The 17,580-nt window shown below is 41.0% G+C and overlaps 2 protein-coding genes across 12 annotated transcripts in view, besides 3 other annotated features; one reads left to right on the top strand and one right to left on the bottom strand.

Moving 5' to 3' along the window:
- The window catches only part of DCAF6 (DDB1 and CUL4 associated factor 6), a 212,261-nt gene extending 199,606 nt beyond the window's left edge, over positions 1-12,655 (bottom strand). Inside the window, exon 1 of the mRNA XM_047425194.1 lies at positions 12,393-12,655. The gene's annotated coding sequence lies outside the window, so the exon portion shown is untranslated. The remainder of the gene's footprint in view (positions 1-12,392) is intronic.
- ADCY10 (adenylate cyclase 10) overlaps positions 1-17,580 on the top strand; it is a 104,749-nt gene that overhangs the window by 37,904 nt on the left and 49,265 nt on the right. For all 11 annotated transcript variants that reach the window (NM_001167749.3, XM_011509762.4, XM_011509763.4 and 8 more), the window contains 4 exons: positions 1,045-1,100; positions 5,821-5,974; positions 15,168-15,360; positions 16,338-16,424. In NM_001167749.3, coding sequence (NP_001161221.1) covers positions 1,045-1,100; positions 5,821-5,974; positions 15,168-15,360; positions 16,338-16,424 — 490 coding nt within the window. The remainder of the gene's footprint in view (positions 1-1,044; positions 1,101-5,820; positions 5,975-15,167; positions 15,361-16,337; positions 16,425-17,580) is intronic.
- Positions 6,206-6,500: a silencer, noted in NCBI's record as "tiled region #4419; K562 Repressive DNase matched - State 5:Enh". NCBI's record gives its function as "represses a minimal TATA promoter and a strong SV40 promoter by Sharpr-MPRA in K562 cells {active_cell/tissue: K562}" and the evidence as "EXISTENCE:reporter gene assay evidence [ECO:0000049][PMID:27701403]".
- Positions 13,856-14,373: an enhancer, noted in NCBI's record as "NANOG-H3K27ac hESC enhancer chr1:167831096-167831613 (GRCh37/hg19 assembly coordinates)". NCBI's record gives its function as "activates a minimal SCP1, AML or CMV promoter by ChIP-STARR-seq in naive H9 embryonic stem cells {active_cell/tissue: H9 hESC(naive)}" and the evidence as "EXISTENCE:reporter gene assay evidence [ECO:0000049][PMID:30033119]".
- Positions 14,374-14,890: an enhancer, noted in NCBI's record as "NANOG-H3K27ac hESC enhancer chr1:167830579-167831095 (GRCh37/hg19 assembly coordinates)". NCBI's record gives its function as "activates a minimal SCP1, AML or CMV promoter by ChIP-STARR-seq in naive H9 embryonic stem cells {active_cell/tissue: H9 hESC(naive)}" and the evidence as "EXISTENCE:reporter gene assay evidence [ECO:0000049][PMID:30033119]".

Here is a 17,580-nt window from a genome sequence, read left to right as displayed (position 1 = left end):
GGATGGAATGCAATGGCGTGATCTTGGCTCACTGCAACCTCTGTCTCTTGGGTTCAAGCGATTCTCCTGCCTCAGCCTCCAGAGTAGCTGGGATGGCAGGCGCAAGCCACCACGCCCAGCTAATTTTTGTATTTTTAGTAGAGACAGGTTTTCACCATGTTGGTCAGGCTGGTCTCAAACTCCTGACCTCAGATGATCCACCTGCCTCGGCCTCCCAAAATGCTGGGATTACAAGCATGAGCCACCGTGCCTGGCCAGTAGTCCTTTTTTTTCTTTTTGAGATGGAGTCTGGCTCTGCTGCCCACGCTGGAGTGCAGTGGTGCGATCTCGGCTCACTGCAAGCTCCCCCTCCCGGGTTCACACCATTCTCCTGCCTCAGCCCCCTGAGTAGCTGGGACTACAGGCAACCGCCACCATGCCTGGCTAATTTCTTTTTGTATTTTTGGTAGAGACGGGGTTTCACCGTGTTAGCCAGGATGGTCTCGATCTCCTGACCTCGTGATCTGCCCACCTCGGCCTCCCAAAGGGCTGGGATTACAGGCGTGAGTCACTGCGCCCAGCCAAGTAGTACTTCTTAACAGTGTTTTTGTCAGGATTAAAGAAAATGATGCATGTAAAGCACTTGGAACTGCGCCAGACACATAGCATGTGCTCCAATAAAAGGCGCGCTATTATTGTTTGAGCAATTGGTGGAATCTTTGCAGGATGTGTGACTCTGCACCACATTGAAATCTACTGGGTCGTATATCAGGTGTCTGATCTCCCCAGAAAGGGGTTTCTCTACCAGTGCAGACTCAACAGCATTTATTGAACAATGTGCCAGATGCTATGGAAACAGATGCTACCTGAGTTCTTTGGATTCTCCACTACCAAGTCAGACCTTCTCGTTTCTCCTTCTTTTGGCGTTTGCGACCCGTGAGTCAGGGGATAGACTCTTGTTAGCAATTGAGAAGGAAACTTTCTGGGAACTAAGAACTAATCACTCTTGCTCTCAATATGTCCCTGTTTTGAATCTAGCATCTGTTCTTTTGTTCTTCTCTTCAGCATGTTTGGTATGGCGTGCCTCATCTGCAACAGAAAGGAGGATTACCCTTTGCTGGGTAGGTAGTAGGCCTTGATTTTAAACTTCTTTATTGAACTAAAACAAAACATGCAGAAAAGTACATCAATGATAACTGTGCAGCTTAATGAATTATCACAAAATGAAAATATAATCATCATCCAGGTTAAGAAATAGAAAAATAGCAATACACCAGGATTACTCTTTCCTTCTTCCTTTCCCCAAAGTCTTCTAACACCCTCGATTACTTATGCCTGTTTAAAAAATTGATACAGATGGAATCATACATTGTATAATTATATACGGCTTATATATACTTTCTCTTACTCAATGGTATGTTATATAATTCATCCATATTGTTGGGTGTAGCTGTAATTTATTCTATGTCATTACTATGTAGTATTCCATTTTTATAAATATACAACAATTTACCCATTCTGTTGCTGTGCAACATTTGGGTTATTTCCAGTTTTTGGTTCTTATGAATAATATTGCCATAAACATTCTTACACAAGTCTTTTGGTGAATGCATGTATGCATTTCTGTTGAGTACAAGGTAGGAGTAAAACGTAGGACTGAAATTGTTGGGACAAAGGGTGCCAAATAGTTTTCCAAAATGGTTGTATTTATTTATATTCTGACTGAGAATGTTAAGAGAGTTCCAGTTGTTCTTCATCTTTGGCAACAACTTAGTTTTATCAATCTTTATCCTTTCAATAATTCTGTTGGGTGTATAGTGGTATCTTATTATGGTTTCCATTTGTATTTCCCTGATGTGGTTGAGCTCCTTCTTCATAAGTTTATTGGCCATTTGGATTTATTTATTTATTTATTTATTTTGAGACAGAGTCTCACTCTGTTGCCCAGGCTGGAGTACAAAGGAGCAATCTTGGCTCACTACAACCTCTACCTCCTGGGTTCAAGTGATTCTCAGGACTCAGCCTCCTGAGTAGCTGGGATTACAGGTGTCCGCCACCATGCCCAGCTAATTTTTATATTTTAGTGGAGGCAGGGTTTCACCATGTTGGCCAGACTGGTCTTGATCTCCTAACTTCAAGTGATCCACTTGCCCCAGCCTCCCAAAGTGCTGGGATTACAGGCGTGAGCCACTGTGCCCAGCCCAGACATTTTTTTAAAGTACCTGTACAATTTTTCACCTATTTTTCAACTGGGTTATATTTTGATTATCTTTTGGAATTATTTACACATTCTAGAGATGGGTCCTTTGTCATTTGTTTCTACTGTATATCACTTTTCCCACTCTGTGTTTGCCTTTTTACTCTCAATTATGCATTTAATAAACAGAATTCTTAACTTTAATGTAATCAAATTTACCTGTCTTTTATAGTTAGTGCTTCTGTATACTATTTGAGATACCTTTCCTTACCCAAAAATCATGGAGATATTTTTCTAGCATTTTTTTCAGAAATTTTGTTTTTACCTTTTATATTTAAGTCTACAATCCATTTGGAATTGATATTTTTGTGATTCCTGGTGATAGGGACCTTATTGTAAGAAAGATAACTCGAGATTAGACAGGGGAGTAGACCTAAAATGAGGAAGGGATATACCTATAAGAGAAGAGACCCAAAGAAGATTGACCTGTGGATTCTGAAGGCAGCCACTTCTAGTAGCACTTGTAATTTCCTTCTGTCAGACACGAACATCCCCAAAAGTCTTATCATAAGTTAAATCTTGGTCCTAACTGTGTCAAGGCAATTAAGAGGAGGCTCTGTCTCACACTTTGGAGAAATATTGGGCCACAATCTTGGTGTCAGCAGAGCCTGAAGGAGGGCAACAGTTCCAGAACTGCAAAAAAACACTTGGGCCAGCAGAAATGCCTCACTTTCACTGCTTTCAGGTAGTTTTCAGGGTCTTCAAGCCAATCACTTCATTTAAGTCCAGATTCCAAAACTCCTGAAGCTAGAGAGAAGGAATACCCACTCTCACCCTCCTCAGAGGCCTTACTTTTCATCCTAGGATATACTTATTTTACTAACTGACAGCAACAGAATCCTAACCTTCTTTCTACAAGATTGCAGACCCAACATGACAGTCACATTAGAACACATTATGTGGATATTTCTTTTTTTTTTCTTTTGAGACAGAGTCTCACTCTGTCGCCCAGGCTGGAGTGCAGTGGCGCGATCTCAGCTCACTACAACCTCTGCGTCCCGGGTTCAAGCGATTCTTCTGCCTCAGCTTCCCAAGTAGCTGGGATTACAGGTGCACACCACCACACCCAGCTAATTTTTGTATTTTTAGTAGAGACGGGGTTTCACCATATTGGCCAGGCTGGTCTTGAACTCCTGATCTCGTGATCTGCCCGCCTTGGCCTCCCAAAGTGCTGGGATTACAGACGTGAGCCACTGCGTGCAGCCTATGTGTATATTTCTCAGTCTGATCTAGTTGCCCTTTTGCACTGATTCCACCAGTATGACATAAAGATCAGGTCCACATACCTTTCCTTCAAGCTATAACCAAACACAGATTGTCAGAGGCTAGCAGCATGGGAAATGCCCTTCTTTTACAAGGGCTGCTATAAATGAAATTGCAACAGCATGGTTGACAACAAAACTATAATAAATAAATAGTGGCTTTTTAGGGTAAAAACTGCATACAACAGTCCCCGATATTGAGGCTTTGCTTAGATAGAAACAAGGTGCATGCATTTCAAGTTAAGGAGACAATCTCATTTTAGAATCCAGCTAAAGATACTCCATAAGGTTCTACCAGTAGGTGTTCTGTATGAATAGAACACAGGGAGCTGGAAGAGTCAGCTATGCAGGCTTTTTTTTTTTTTAAGCTTCCTTAGGAAACTTTATTTTTTTTGAGATGGAGTTTTGCTCTTGTTGCCCAGGCTGGAGTGCAATGGCGCCATCTCGGCTTACTGTAACCTCCGCCTCCCAGGTTCAAGCAATTCTCCTGCCTCAGCCTCCTGAGTAGCTGGGATTACAGGCATGCACCACCACGCCCGGCTAATTTTGTATTTTTAATAGAGACGGGGTTTCTCCATGTTGAGGCTGGTCTCGAACTCCTGACCTCAGGGGATCCACCCGCCTCGGCCTCCCAAAGTGCTGGGATTACAGGCGTGAGCCACCGCTCCCAGCCTGGAAACTTTATTATTTTTTATTTATTTATTTTTTATTATTATACTTTAAGTTCTAGGGTACACAATGCACAACGTGCAGGTTTGTTACATATGTATACATGTGCCATGTTGGTGTGCAGCTATGCAGCCTTTGAAGCCTCATCTTCTAAGTTCCTATGTGAGCTTCATTCAGGCCAAAGAAAAACACAAAACATCTCACGAAATTGAGGTTCAAATGCATTTTCAGAAAGGGAATATTTCACCCAAAAGAAGCAATACAGTCTGCTAAGTAGTTCTCACTAAGCCATACTCAGAAATGTATATTACCAAGCAAAGCACTTAGCTTCTTTTTATTAAATGTCTACACTTGAATTAATGGTCCTTCAACAAAGACATTAGATAATACCTGGATATTTATTTGTTCTATCAGTGAATAACAAAATGGGCCTCCACATTCATCTGCCCAGCACAGAAGGAATAGTTAGCTCTCAATGAGTCTCCAACTTTTTTGACAGAAATTGCTCACTGCTTAGAAATTACAATTCTTACAGCTCCTTACAGCAGGGTTTCAGATTTCACCCAGGGCTGTTACAGTATTTAAAAACACACAAGAAAAATAAGGGTTGTAACCCAAGGTGATTTTTATTTTTTTCTTTTCCAAGTTTTCCATATTTTCTACAGCAAGCATATGTTAGTTTTATAATCAGAAAAAACCTATAATCTATTTTCACTAAGAATTTAAGTTGCTCTTATGATAGAAATAATCTGTACATGATTTCTGAAGGCAAATTGAATTTTATCCCTGGTAATGCTTTTTGTAGCCCTGAATTAAGTATAATCTTCATTTACAGAGGGCAAATTTCCTTTATCACAGAATCAGAAATAAAAATATTTTATCCATAATTGTTTAATGTAGGAAAACTAACTTTAATAAATTTATTTCCTAATGTAATAGTCTACATATTACTTCTAGTGTGTTGAATAAAAACAAAAAACAAAAAACAAAAAAAAACAAGCTTTAGGGTTAGATAGCCTTGGCTTAATTCCTGGTTGTGTAATCTAAGCAAATCTCAGTTTTCTACACTATAATTAAACATTATAATGAGGATTATAAGAATACTTTCTCTCACAGCTTCTAATCAAATGAAACTGCAAAACCACATGGTTAGCTAAAAAGCTCCCAGGAAGATTTAAACAATTTTGAAAGTGCATAAGGCTTGAAGAAAGTCTGTGAACAATGCCATGGAAATTCCAAGTTTTTTTTTTTTTTTTTAGATGGAGTTTTGCTTGTCGCCCAGGCTGGAGTGCAATGGCAGGATCCCGGCTCGCTGCAACCTCCGCCTCCTGGGTTCAAGCAATTCTCTTACCTCAGCCTCCTGAGTAGCTGGGACTACAGGCACCCGCCACCAAGTCTGGCTAATTTTTTTTTTTTTTTTTTTTTGTATTTTCAGTAGAGGCAGGGTTTCATCATGTTGGCCAGGCTGGTCACGAACTCCTGACCTCAGCAGATCCGCCCACCTCGGCCTCCCAAAGTGCTGGGATTACAGGAGTGAGCCACAGCGCCTGGCCCAAGGATATTTTTAGAAGGAGGGTTTCTATGTGACTTTTTATATCTCTAGACTATTTTACGTTGATTGAGTTTGCTCTTTTTTAAAACTAAAAATAACAGGACGTAATAAAGAGATCAACTACTTCATGTATACTATGAAGAAATTTTTGATATCTAACAGCAGCCAAGTCTTAATGTATGAGGGATTACCAGGATATGGAAAAAGCCAGATACTTATGAAAATTGAGTACCTGGCCCAAGGTAAGAATCACAGGTGAGTGTCTTGGAATGATTGTTCTGTGTGAACCCATAGAATCCTGATTTATTTTGATGCTCCTCTCCTTCCTATAACTTGCCTTATGTAAATTATCTATAACCTACAATTATTGGATGCCATGACCCTTGTGCTAAATAGATAACTAACAATAAACACATAGAGCTAAGAAAAAGAGAAACTGGGCTGACCCATGGATATCCTGATTTAATGCCAGGAAGGGCTTGGTTATTTAAAGTTTCCTAAGTAATCCCAATATTCAGACAGATCGAGAACAATTGGCATAGATGTTGAGATCAAGGCTAGATTTGGTCTGCAGAACAAACACTTAAGTTTATCCAGCTAGCTGACAGTGTAGCAGGACCAGCTGCAGACAAAACCCCTCAGACACCGAGATAGTGAAGGGAGTGGCTTTAATCAGCTGGGAGAATCGGCAGGCTAGCGTCTCAAAATCCGAGCTCGTCAAGGTGCTCAACTTCTGCCCTTTTAAGGGCTCACAACTCTAAGGGGGTCTGCATGAGAGGGTCGTGATCGATTGAGTAAGCCAGGGGGTACGTGACAGGGGCTGTGAGCACTGGTGGTCACAGTGAAACAGAACAGAACGAGAGATTTCACAATGTCCTTCCATACAATGTGTGGAATCTATAGATAACAACAGTTGCTAGGTCAGGGGTCGAATTTTAACTACCAGGCTTAGGTCAGGCAGGCCCAGGCCTGGTTTCGGGTCTGGTTCTTAGGCGCCGGGCTACCTGCCTTTAGTTTCGCTTCTCTGTCCTTTTCTGAGTATAAAACAATATAAAACAATATGAGAGGGTCTCTCTCTTCCCTCATTTCCCCCGTTTGAGACTCTCACTTTTTATTAGTGGGAGTTCTCACTCTTATTTTTGCCACTTATGCCTTCTTGTGCAATAGATTGATAGTGATTCATATAGTACACTTGTGTTGAGGCATTTTGGTGAACTAAGGTAGCAATGAAGCTTTTTATCATTTGAAGAAGTACAGGCAGCAAGCAAGGGAGCAGTAAGCAGGTTTCTATTACTATTATAACTCCTATATAAGAGTTTTAAATCCTCCTAGTGCTGGGAACCACCTTCTAAACATGGCTTCAGGGTCGAATCCGTGCTACACTCGTACGGGCATATGTGCCAGTTTTGTCATGTTTTTAACTATGTCTTTAACTACGTCTTTAACTACTTGCCTTTGATTATCTATGTGTAGACAGTAATTAGTAAGGTTAAATTTTTATAGACCTCTCTTTCAGCTGCTAGAAGTAGTCGAGAGCCAATCTATTTTGATAGATAGCATTTCTTATCTGAGTTTCTTGCCGGGCCAGAATAGTCAAGGCTTGACTGGTTTTATTAGTGATGATTTCTAAAACAGCTTGCAACCGTATGATTCAGTTGAGCATGTAAATGGGGGTCTGGTATACCCATGAGCCATCTTGTGTCTAAGTGGCAGGCCTATAGTATTGTATAATTTTTTAGGTGGTCATTCATCATCTTTTTAATTATCTATGGCTATGTTTCGCTTTTCGCGGAAAGCATAGACAGGGAAGCCCAGGAGTTCGCCTATTTGTATGGGCAGTAGGAAGAAAGATGGTTTAATAGTGCCAATAACACAACTACCTGTCCACTGGTCAGGCAGCTTAGCGTAGGTTCTATGTCCACGTATCCAGTATAGCCTAGTGGGGGGCTGTCTAGTCCCGGTGGAATTCTGGGTGGGCTTAAACGGTCTGCAACTTTGGAAATTTACTGAATGGATTTTTATCTGTGTGGTTTGAACTCCACCATGTAACTGTTTTTGTGGTACCATTATACAGTTTTTGTCCTAGGCAACTAAGTCATCCTACAGGATGAGTGAATTCTTTCCTTTTTTCAGCTATGCAATATTGTCTAATAATTGAGACTTTTAGAACCTAGAAATGATCAGGGTGATTCTTTTGGGCCGGGAATTCATCAGGAACTGGGTCTGTAGGCACTAATTCTCGGGCTTCTTATGCCATTGATCTCTTATTACAGTTTCTCCACAAACGTAACATGAGGTGACATTTAGAGACTGGGCTACATGCTCGGCTAATTGCAAAAACAAATTTCTGGTTTTTCCTGGAGTCTCTGGTACTGGCACATTTAGTTAATCATAGAAAGTCTGAAATACTGGTTCCGGAGAGAGTTTACGAACCTCCTCTTTTACTAAGGTATTTACTCTAGGATCTAGTCCTTTTTTATCGACGCCCAGAGATACGTGTACTTCTTTTTTTCTACCTTGGGTTTAAGGGATTTGTAATTACTAATTTCAAGGGGTTGCAGCTTCCACTCGTACAGGAGGGGCTGCCTTCTCCTTTTTGGAGCTAAACAGGGTCTTTTTCATCCTTTTTCTAAGTAGCCTAGATGACACAAGACCAGTAATTACACACATTTGCACATGAGCTTAATTCGTGGCAGATATACTTATTTCCTGCTGTGTAACTTTTTTTTTTTTCAGTTTAAAGAACCGCATCTTATTCTATGCCGATTGCTATTGATAGTGGCACAAGCATTAAATTTTAGTGTTACATGCTTGGGGATCCCTCTTTCTTCTGTCTTAGCTATTACTTTACTTGTGTCACCTAGAAAAGGACCAGTCCTTAATTTATTTTAAAAAACTGTGATCATTGGAGGCTTAAAATGGGTCATAACACACATCAGGTTGGTTATTTCCTAGGCTACATACCTTGGATAGAATAGCATTATACAAACAAGTTTCTTTTAGAGTCCTCGTACACTTATAATAACCATGAAATAATAGGACTGTAGCAATCTTTTGTCCTACCTCAGTGACTTGATGTATATACTGGGAACAGTTCTCAGTCTGAGGAAGGTCAGTTGAAGTCCTTACTGTACAAGTCCAAATTTTAAGGAAAATGAGTCCCGTGATGAGTTTTCTCATGCTTCGGCCGTGCGTGGACCAGTCAGCTTCCGGGTGTGACTGGAGCAGGGCTTTTTCTGAGTCACTTTGCAGAGGTTGGTGAAGCTGCTCCCATCCACGTACAGCTCCCAGTTTACTGATGTTTAAGGATGGTTTTGGAGGTTGGGCCCACTAGAATAAACTGAGTCCAACACTTCTACACAGTTATGTTTAACTGGGCTCTCTGATACCAGGAGCAAGGTGGCGGGGTTTAGGGTGTTGCAAACTTCAATGGTTATGTGGGGATTTTCACAGAGCAAGCTTTGGTATCTAGTTAGTCTAGCATTCATTAGCTAATGATGTCCTTTGGTACTGATTAAAGTCACCACAGCATGGGGGGGACTTTATGTTTAGGTTTTGCCTAAGAGTTAGCTTATCTGCTTCTTGTGCTAACAGGGCCGTTGCTGCCAGGGCCCTTAGATATGGGGGCCAGCCTTTGGAAACCCCATCTAGTTGTTTTGAGAGATAGGCCACTGGCCTTGGCCAGAGCCCTACAGTCTGGGTTAAAACTCCAACTGCCATTTTTTTTTTTTGAAGATAACCATTCTTTTTTTTTTTTTTTTAAGTGAACTTTCTTTATATCTGTGGACTAGACTGTCTAAGGCCACAAGATTAGAAGTTACTATAATACATGTTACACTGTTAACTTTTAGCAAACTTTACTTTTGTTGAAAACCTTGTAAGTTTGGGATTTCAATTATCCTTTGCTATGAGTAAGACCTTGTTTAGTCTAAATTAACTTAGAATTGGTATAGATGGCCCTTTTTTTTTTTTTTTTTTTTTGGCACATAGAGTGTGCACTTTCGTCAGGTCAGGTAGCCCCAGGGCTGGGGCCGACCTGAGTTTTTCTTTCAACTCATGAAAAGCTTGTTGCTGTTGTTTGTAATAGATATAATTTATCTAATTTACATTTTTATTAACATCACTCACTAAAATATTGACTTAAATTTTGTAGCTATTTGATTTCAAGCTTTAAATTGATCTGGTATTCCTCGTGGGACTCCAATTGCGTCTAAATGGACGTGAGAGTCGAAAGACCTATAAGGGGGCTTCTCTCGCTTTACGATGTCTTATTTTTCCTCCCTCTTGTTGATGAAATGCCAGGGTGAAAGGGATAGCCAACTGGACTAAAGTATAAGTGCCACTCCAGTTATTCGGCAGAGTGCCCAGTAAAGGTCCACCACAATACCACCACACATCCGCTTGGGGATGAACAAGGGCTGACTGATTGATAAGCTCTTGAAAATTCTTAAGCTCATTGCATCACTTCAGGTCTCCAAGGAATCCTAAGTTTCCTCTCTGTGGTGAGAGACATGAAGTGAACTTAGTGTTGGGAGACGGAGGCTGGATGGCCCTCGGGGGCTGACCCACAGGGATAGCAGAGAGAGTTTGGCATGACTTATTACTCCAGGCTGTAGAATCCTGGAAAAGAGCTACCATGCAGCCCACGCCTGGTGGACTGGAGGACCACTTTAGTGGAAGGGGGACAATGAGGGCCTCTGGCCTGCCATGTGCACAAGCATAACAACTGCTTTTGTTTAATGTGCAGATGGAATATTTGATCCATTTCAACCAGGCATTTGCATCTTGGTATGCTGTCTTAATTGCCAAAGTTTGTTTTAAGTCTTTAACTTCTATGATCCTCTAGTAAAATGAATGTTTCCTTTAGGACCTATTTTTATTAGTTTTTAGACCAAAGAAAGCTAAACACCATTTTATATTTAATAATACTTCTTGTATGATTTTTATACCAGATAAGCTAAATTTTACCTTTATATTAGTGTGTTATTAATGTTAAACTTAATTTTAATAAAACCTCATAGACATATTTATCCAATTTTTCATGTTTGACCATAAGGTAAGTTTTTACAGACTCTTTTTAACCTTTTATAATTTTTGTTAAAGAGCAGGTTGGTGCTTCAAGAAAAACCTGTTGCATTTTTACTTTAATGTCCAGTTCACAGAAAAACTGGATGATACCTTTTTATCTTTAGCTAATTAGTTTACACACAGAATTTTTTTTTACAATTAACATTTTAAAACTTGCTTAAACTTTCAAAACAATAATTTTTTTAACCTTTTAATGTAGGTAAAAATCCACATTCTTATGCCTCCTTCTAATCTTTTTACCAAAAGTATATTTTACTTTTCTTATGCACCTTGCACATAAACTGTTTCTTCAATAGTACTCAGGAGGCCTTATTACTTTCAAATTATACAATATTTTTTGCATAAATTTTTTATAACATCGTTTTCTATGACTTTCGCAGATAATTCTTTGACATGTCTCAACTTTCTGACTTATTACAAATATTTCTTTCTTTAAACAACAGTTAATTTATTTCAAGACAAGAATTTACCATATAACACTCTTTTTACATAAATTTTGCCTTCCCACAGCTCTTTTTTTTTTTTTTTCCTGTTAGCAAAGCAGCTGCTGCTACAGATTGAATGCATCTGGGCCATCCGTGGGTTACTGGGTTAAGGATTTTTGATAGGAAGGCCTCAGTGCTTTCGGGATACGCCCTTGTTTACACTAACAACAAAGTGGTATTAGAGTGTTACAGGGTTACGGAGAATACCTTTAATTATCAATTTTAGGTTTTAAATTTACCTTGGCTTTTAAAGGGAATAGGGTACACTATTTTTTTCTTAACTACTTGGATATTTCTCTCTATTTTTCTTTCTCTCTTTGACTTTCTGTCTCTCTCTCTCCCTCTCTCTCTCTTTGACTTTCCTTTTGCCTCTGTTTCTTCCTCTCTTTCTGCCTCTCTTAACTACTGTGGGGGCGAAGGGGGTCTAAAACCAGCTGTAATTGTCTACGTACAGAAACTGGTCTGTGTGCCTTGGCTTACAGGTTACCTTGTGCCATACATTTGAAACAAGGGACCTGTCTAGGCTTCCTTCTGATGGCCAACCCACCTCTAATGTTGGCCAGTCTATTTTACACAAAGTTCTAAGTTTTTCTAGTGTCATAGTAACACCGTAATCTCCCTTAAATCCTTTCTTGAAATTTTTCAACATAGTTTCTAGTAGGGTGGGCTTATTTGTGCCTGACCCATGTTTCTTCGAGACAAAACACCACTCTCACACCACATGCACACCACAAAACAAAGAACGGGTAAAAAGGGCACGCACACACTTTTGCAGTTTACACTAAACCAAAATCAAAACCAAAATCAGAGTATTCAGAAATCCAAGCCAGGTCAAAACCAAAACCAAAGTATCAAGCAATCTAAGTCAAGTCAAAAACAAAAACCAAAGTGCCGGAACAGGCACACCGTGGGTGATCAGATCAGGCCATGCTTCCACTCAAATGGAGTGGGAATGGAGTGGGCAAGTTCCCAAGACCAGTCCTGTCAAGTAATTCAAACCAAGTCAAAACCAAAACCAAGTGCTGATAAAGGCACGCCGTGGGTGATCAGGCCATGCTTCCACTCAAATGGAGTGGGCAAGTTCCAAAGACTAGTCTTACCAAGTTTTAGTTGTCCGGACTCCAAGTGCCAATTCCTTCCCGGTGTTCAGCCACTCTGTTGATCCTCCACGGGGGCCTGCCACACACTGCTCTGGCGAGGTGTCCCACCGGGGCAAATGCCTACCCAGGAGAGCTCTCAGGATCCGCGTCACTCTGGCTGGTTGGAGTCCCCAGCAGGGATGTTCCACAGGGCAGGCTAAAGCCGCCTAAGGAGCTGCCTCGACCATCTGTTAATCACCTTGCTTCCCGGTCAGGGAACCAAGAAATGTAGCAGGATGAGCCGCAGACAAAACCCCTCAGACACCGAGATAGTGAAGGGAGTGGCTTTAATCAGCTGGGAGAATCGGCAGGCTAGCGTCTCAAAATCCGAGCTCGTCTGATGCTCAACTTCTGTCCCTTTTAAGGGCTCACAACTCTAAGGGGGTCCGCATGAGAGGGTCGTGATCGATTGAGTAAGCCAGGGGGTACGTGACAGGGGCTGTGAGCACCGGTGGTCACAGTGAAACAGAACAGAACGAGAGATTTCACAATGTCCTTCCATACAATGCCCTTCCATACAATGTCTGGAATCTATAGATAACAACAGTTGCTAGGTCAGGGGTCGAATTTTAACTACCGAGCTTAGGTCAGGCAGGCCCAGGCCTGGTTTCGGGTCTGGTTCCTAGGCGCCGGGCTATCTGCCTTTAATTTCACTTTTCTTTCCTTTTCTGAGTATAAAACAATATGAGAGGGTCTGTCTCTTCCCTCAACAGGGAATCACTAGTTCAAACCATTTAGTCCTAAGACTGGAGATAGAGAATAAGAGGTCTTTGGATTTTTCCCTGGAAGACAGATCTAATATACTTGTCTCATGTTGTTTATTTATTTTCATATAAGGAATATTATGAGGGCTATCTTTGGGACAATCCATTCTACTTCCTCATGGAAGTAGATAGTATGGTATTCAATAACAGTGGTGATGACCAGGACAATAATGATGGTGACTCATATCCCTTCCCCACCTAACCTAAACAGTGTGAGGGGAAAATGCTTGTTAATCTTATAATATTCTTAGCTGTATCTCTATCCCACATTAAAGTTAGGCCTGAGAAAGGCCAGTTTTAAAATATCTTTATCATTGCTGAAGGGATAATTCACAACAGTCAGAAGACATTTGTTTATTCATGTATTCAATCATTAATTGAATTCCTACTATGTTCAGGAACTACTAAGTGCTGTATTCACTAGCCGGGGCCTCTGTAAAAAAGTACTACAAATGGATGGCTTACAACAGAAATTTGTCTCATAGTTCTCAGGGGTAGGAGTCTGAGATCAAGGCATCTTTTCTTCTCTGGACCATGAGGAAGAATCTGTTTCATGCCCACCTGCTAGCTTCTGGTGGTTGCTGGCCATCTTTGGTGTTCCAAAGATGGCTTGTAGAAGCGTCACCCTAATCTCTGCCTTCATGTCACATGGCATTCTCCCTGTGTGTTGTTTGTGTCCAAATTTCTCCTTTTTATAAGGGCATCAGTTTTATTGGATTAGAGGCCTACCCTACTCTAGCATGATCTCATCTTAACTAATTGTATCTGCAACGACTCTCTTTTCAAATAAGGTCACACTTTGAGGCCCTAGAGGCTAAGAATTTAACATATGAATTGTGGGGACATGTGTCAACAAGTGCCAAAGCCCTGAATATCAATAAAGTCTGCTCTCTGCCCTCAAGGAGCTCTCACAGAAGAGGAGGAGAGAGATAATGTGTTAGTCGTTTTCACGCTGCTATAAAGAACTACCTGAGACTGGGTAATTTATAAAGAAAAGAGGTTTCATTGACTCACAGTTCCACATGGCTAGGGAGGCCTCAGGAAAATTATAATCATGACAGAAGGCAAAGGGGAAGCAAGGCATGTCTTACATGGTGGCAGGAGAGAGCGAGCAAGGGAGGAAGTGCCAAACTTTTAAACCATCAAATCTCATGAGAACTCCCTCACTATCATGAGAACAGCATGGGGGGAACCGCCCTCATGATCCAATCACTTCCCAACAGGTCTCTCCCCTGACACTCGGGGGTTGCAATACGGGATGAGATTTGGGTGAGGACACAGAGCCAAACCATATCAGATAGCATTAAAAGTTGAATATAGTGAGGGCAACGATAGAGTCATGCAATAGAGAATTGTGGAAGTTCAGAGAAGAAAGGGTATGTAGTCAACCTTAGGACATTGATGACAGTTTCCAGGAGGCTACACCTGAGCTGAGACTTGAGATGAACCTCAAATGAGGGGCAATGAGAAGCCATAGCACTCTGGGCTGAGGAGACAGCATAAGCAAAGGCATGGAGAGGAGAAATAGCTCTGGGTGTGCAGGGAACTCTCACCTGCTTGCTGTTGGTGAAGGGTAGATTGCTAGGCAGAGAGTGGCAAGAAAGGATAGAATGAGGCTTTGGAAAGTCTTGTGTGTCACATAAAGGAGGCCTGGGTTCATGCCGTTAGGCAATGGGAGCTCCCAGTCAGAGGGTCATGACCTGGATGGGGGTAGTGGCTTGCTATTGTGGTAGTATAGGGTGGCAGTAGGACTAGAAAGGAGAGAATTAGCTAGGTTAAATTAATCAGGGCTTAGGAACAGGAGAAGAGGGAGTATATCAGAAGCAGCAATAAAGAACCATTGCGAGATAGCTTGGAAAATCTCCATCATTATAGCTGAATATGAGAAGACAGAGCTTTCCTTCAACCTCTATTATTTTCAAAAATATATATTTAAAAACTCTCTTCTGTTTCTTGATTTTCTCACAAACAGGATTATTGCCATTTCATTGAATAAGATCAGCTTCCATCAAACTTTCTATACCATCCAGATGTTCATGGCCAATGTCCTAGGCCTAGACACTTGTAAACATTATAAAGAACGACAGACCAACCTTCGAAATAAAGTCATGACACTGTTGGATGAAAAGTTCTACTGTCTTCTTAATGACATTTTCCATGTTCAGGTAACTAGCTAGTATTATACTTCTGCACAAATAGCCATGGGCAGGCACAGCAACTCCTCTCTGGTGCATTGTGACTTAGCATCTCTTTGGTCTGTATATCTGCAGTATCCAGATGGTGAGTAAATGGCTCCCAATCCTCTCTGGATGTGCATCAACATTCTTGACATATTAGAGGTATCTTGAAATATCATACTCAAGAAAATCCAAATGGCCATCTGCTGACTAATTTTTTTCTTACCTTTCTATCATAGCTATACTAGCTACTCTGGGACACAAAGTCACTCTGTTCCTACAAGTGATGCCAGTGCAGACTGTGCCCTGTCTTTTCCTGAATTATCTAACACAGGGGTCCTCAACCCCTGGTACTAGTTCATGGCCTGTTAGAAACCAGACCACACAGCAGGAGGCAACCAGTGGGTGAGCAAGTGAAGCTTCATCTCTATTTATAGCCACTCCCCATTGCTCACATTACCACCTAAGCTCCTCCTCTTGTCAGATCAGCAGCAGCATTAGATTCTCATAGGAGCCTGAACCCTATTGTGAACTGTGCATGCAAGGGACCTAGGTTGCATGCTCCTTATGAGAATCTAATGCCTGATGATCTGTCACTGGCTTCCATCACCCTCAGATGGGACCATCTAGTTGCAAGGAAACAAGCTCAGGGCTCCCACTGATTCTATCTACATTATGGTGAGTTGTATAATTATTTCATTATATATTACAATGTAATAATAGAAGCAAAGTGCACAATAAATGTAATGCACCTGAATCATCCTAAAATCATCCCCTCTGCCGCAGTTCATGAAAAAATTGTTTTCCACAAAACTAGTCCCTGGTGCCAAAAAGGTTGGGACCACTTATCTAACACATGAGGATTTTAAGACACAGAATAGTTAAGTGTTTTGCCCAAAGTTGCATAGCCAGTAGTTCCCTTTGCTATTTTCCCATACTCAATATTCTCATAATTCTTTGTACAGTTCCCTATTTCTCGGGAGATTTCCAGGATGAGCACCTTGAAAAAGCAAAAACAATTGGAAATATTGTTTATGAAGATCTTGAAGCTGGTAAGAGCATCTGTGGGTCAAGAAGTAGGGGGAAGAAAACTGGGCAAATCACCACAAAGCCAGGTGGTTTGAGGAGTTCAGACCACATTGGCAAGAGGCTTTTGAAGGATGTGAAGGCTTTGTCCTAAAGTGCTTCATTCTCCTCCATCCTTCCAAACCTCAAGCAAAAGGTCTGTTTAGAATTTAGATGCCTTGAAAAGAGTCCCTTAACATTACTCCTAGGAGTCTGGCCTCTCTCAGCACTCATTTTTTCATCCTTTGTTGAGATATAATGTACCAAAGTGGTTACATATGCAGGCTCTGTCGTCAGACCACTGAGGTTTGAACCCCCAGGCCTATCACTTGCTACCTGAGCAACCTCAAGCAGTGACTTACCCTCTCTATGTTTCTGCTTTATCATCTATCAAATGGAGGAAAATAATAGTACGTAGCTCACTGGGATGTAAGTTTAAATGACTAGATTATATGTAGAAACACTTAGAACAGTGTCTCTTTCATAAGAAACACTCAACAAGTGTTAGCTCTCTCCCAGTAATATCACGACTGTCTGCTATATATTGATCACCAAATTTATATTTCAGTCCCCACCTCTCTTATAAACACCAAAACCATATTCCTAAGAGCCTTGTATATATTCCACTTGGATGTAGTGACTCACGCTGAGTTGAGTGTCTAATGCCAAATTCATTTTTTTACTATAGTGCCCTTTCTTCCTCATCCTGATCCTGATCCTTGATTTCATTAGTAGCAAATTATGCCATTCTGTATCATTTAAAGTTATCCTTGCCTTCTTTTTTGCCCACATTCCCGCATTTACTCACTGCCAAGTCCTACTATTTTTACCTCAGTCTCTGGAATCTCCTTGTCCTCCCTTCCTATTGCCATAGTTCAGGCTCTTATCATTTTTTCCTGGACTATTTCCATAGCTTTCCAAAAAACTCTGTGCTTCACACCTCTCTGCTTCAATTCATCCTTCATATAATTCTCAGAGTATATGCAAATCACACCAACCCATACTTTATACTCTCGAAATAAGTCCCAGTGGTAATAAGATAAAAGCCAAAAGATTTTTTTTAACCTAGAGAAATGGTGCTCATCTTTCAATGTCACCTCTTTGGTGAGAACTTCCCCAGATCACTAGACATGACTAATTCTT

Source organism: Homo sapiens, chromosome 1, assembly GCF_000001405.40.
Source record: "Homo sapiens chromosome 1, GRCh38.p14 Primary Assembly".
Lineage (NCBI taxonomy): Eukaryota > Metazoa > Chordata > Mammalia > Primates > Hominidae > Homo > Homo sapiens.
This window is presented reverse-complemented; position numbering and strand designations above follow the sequence as displayed.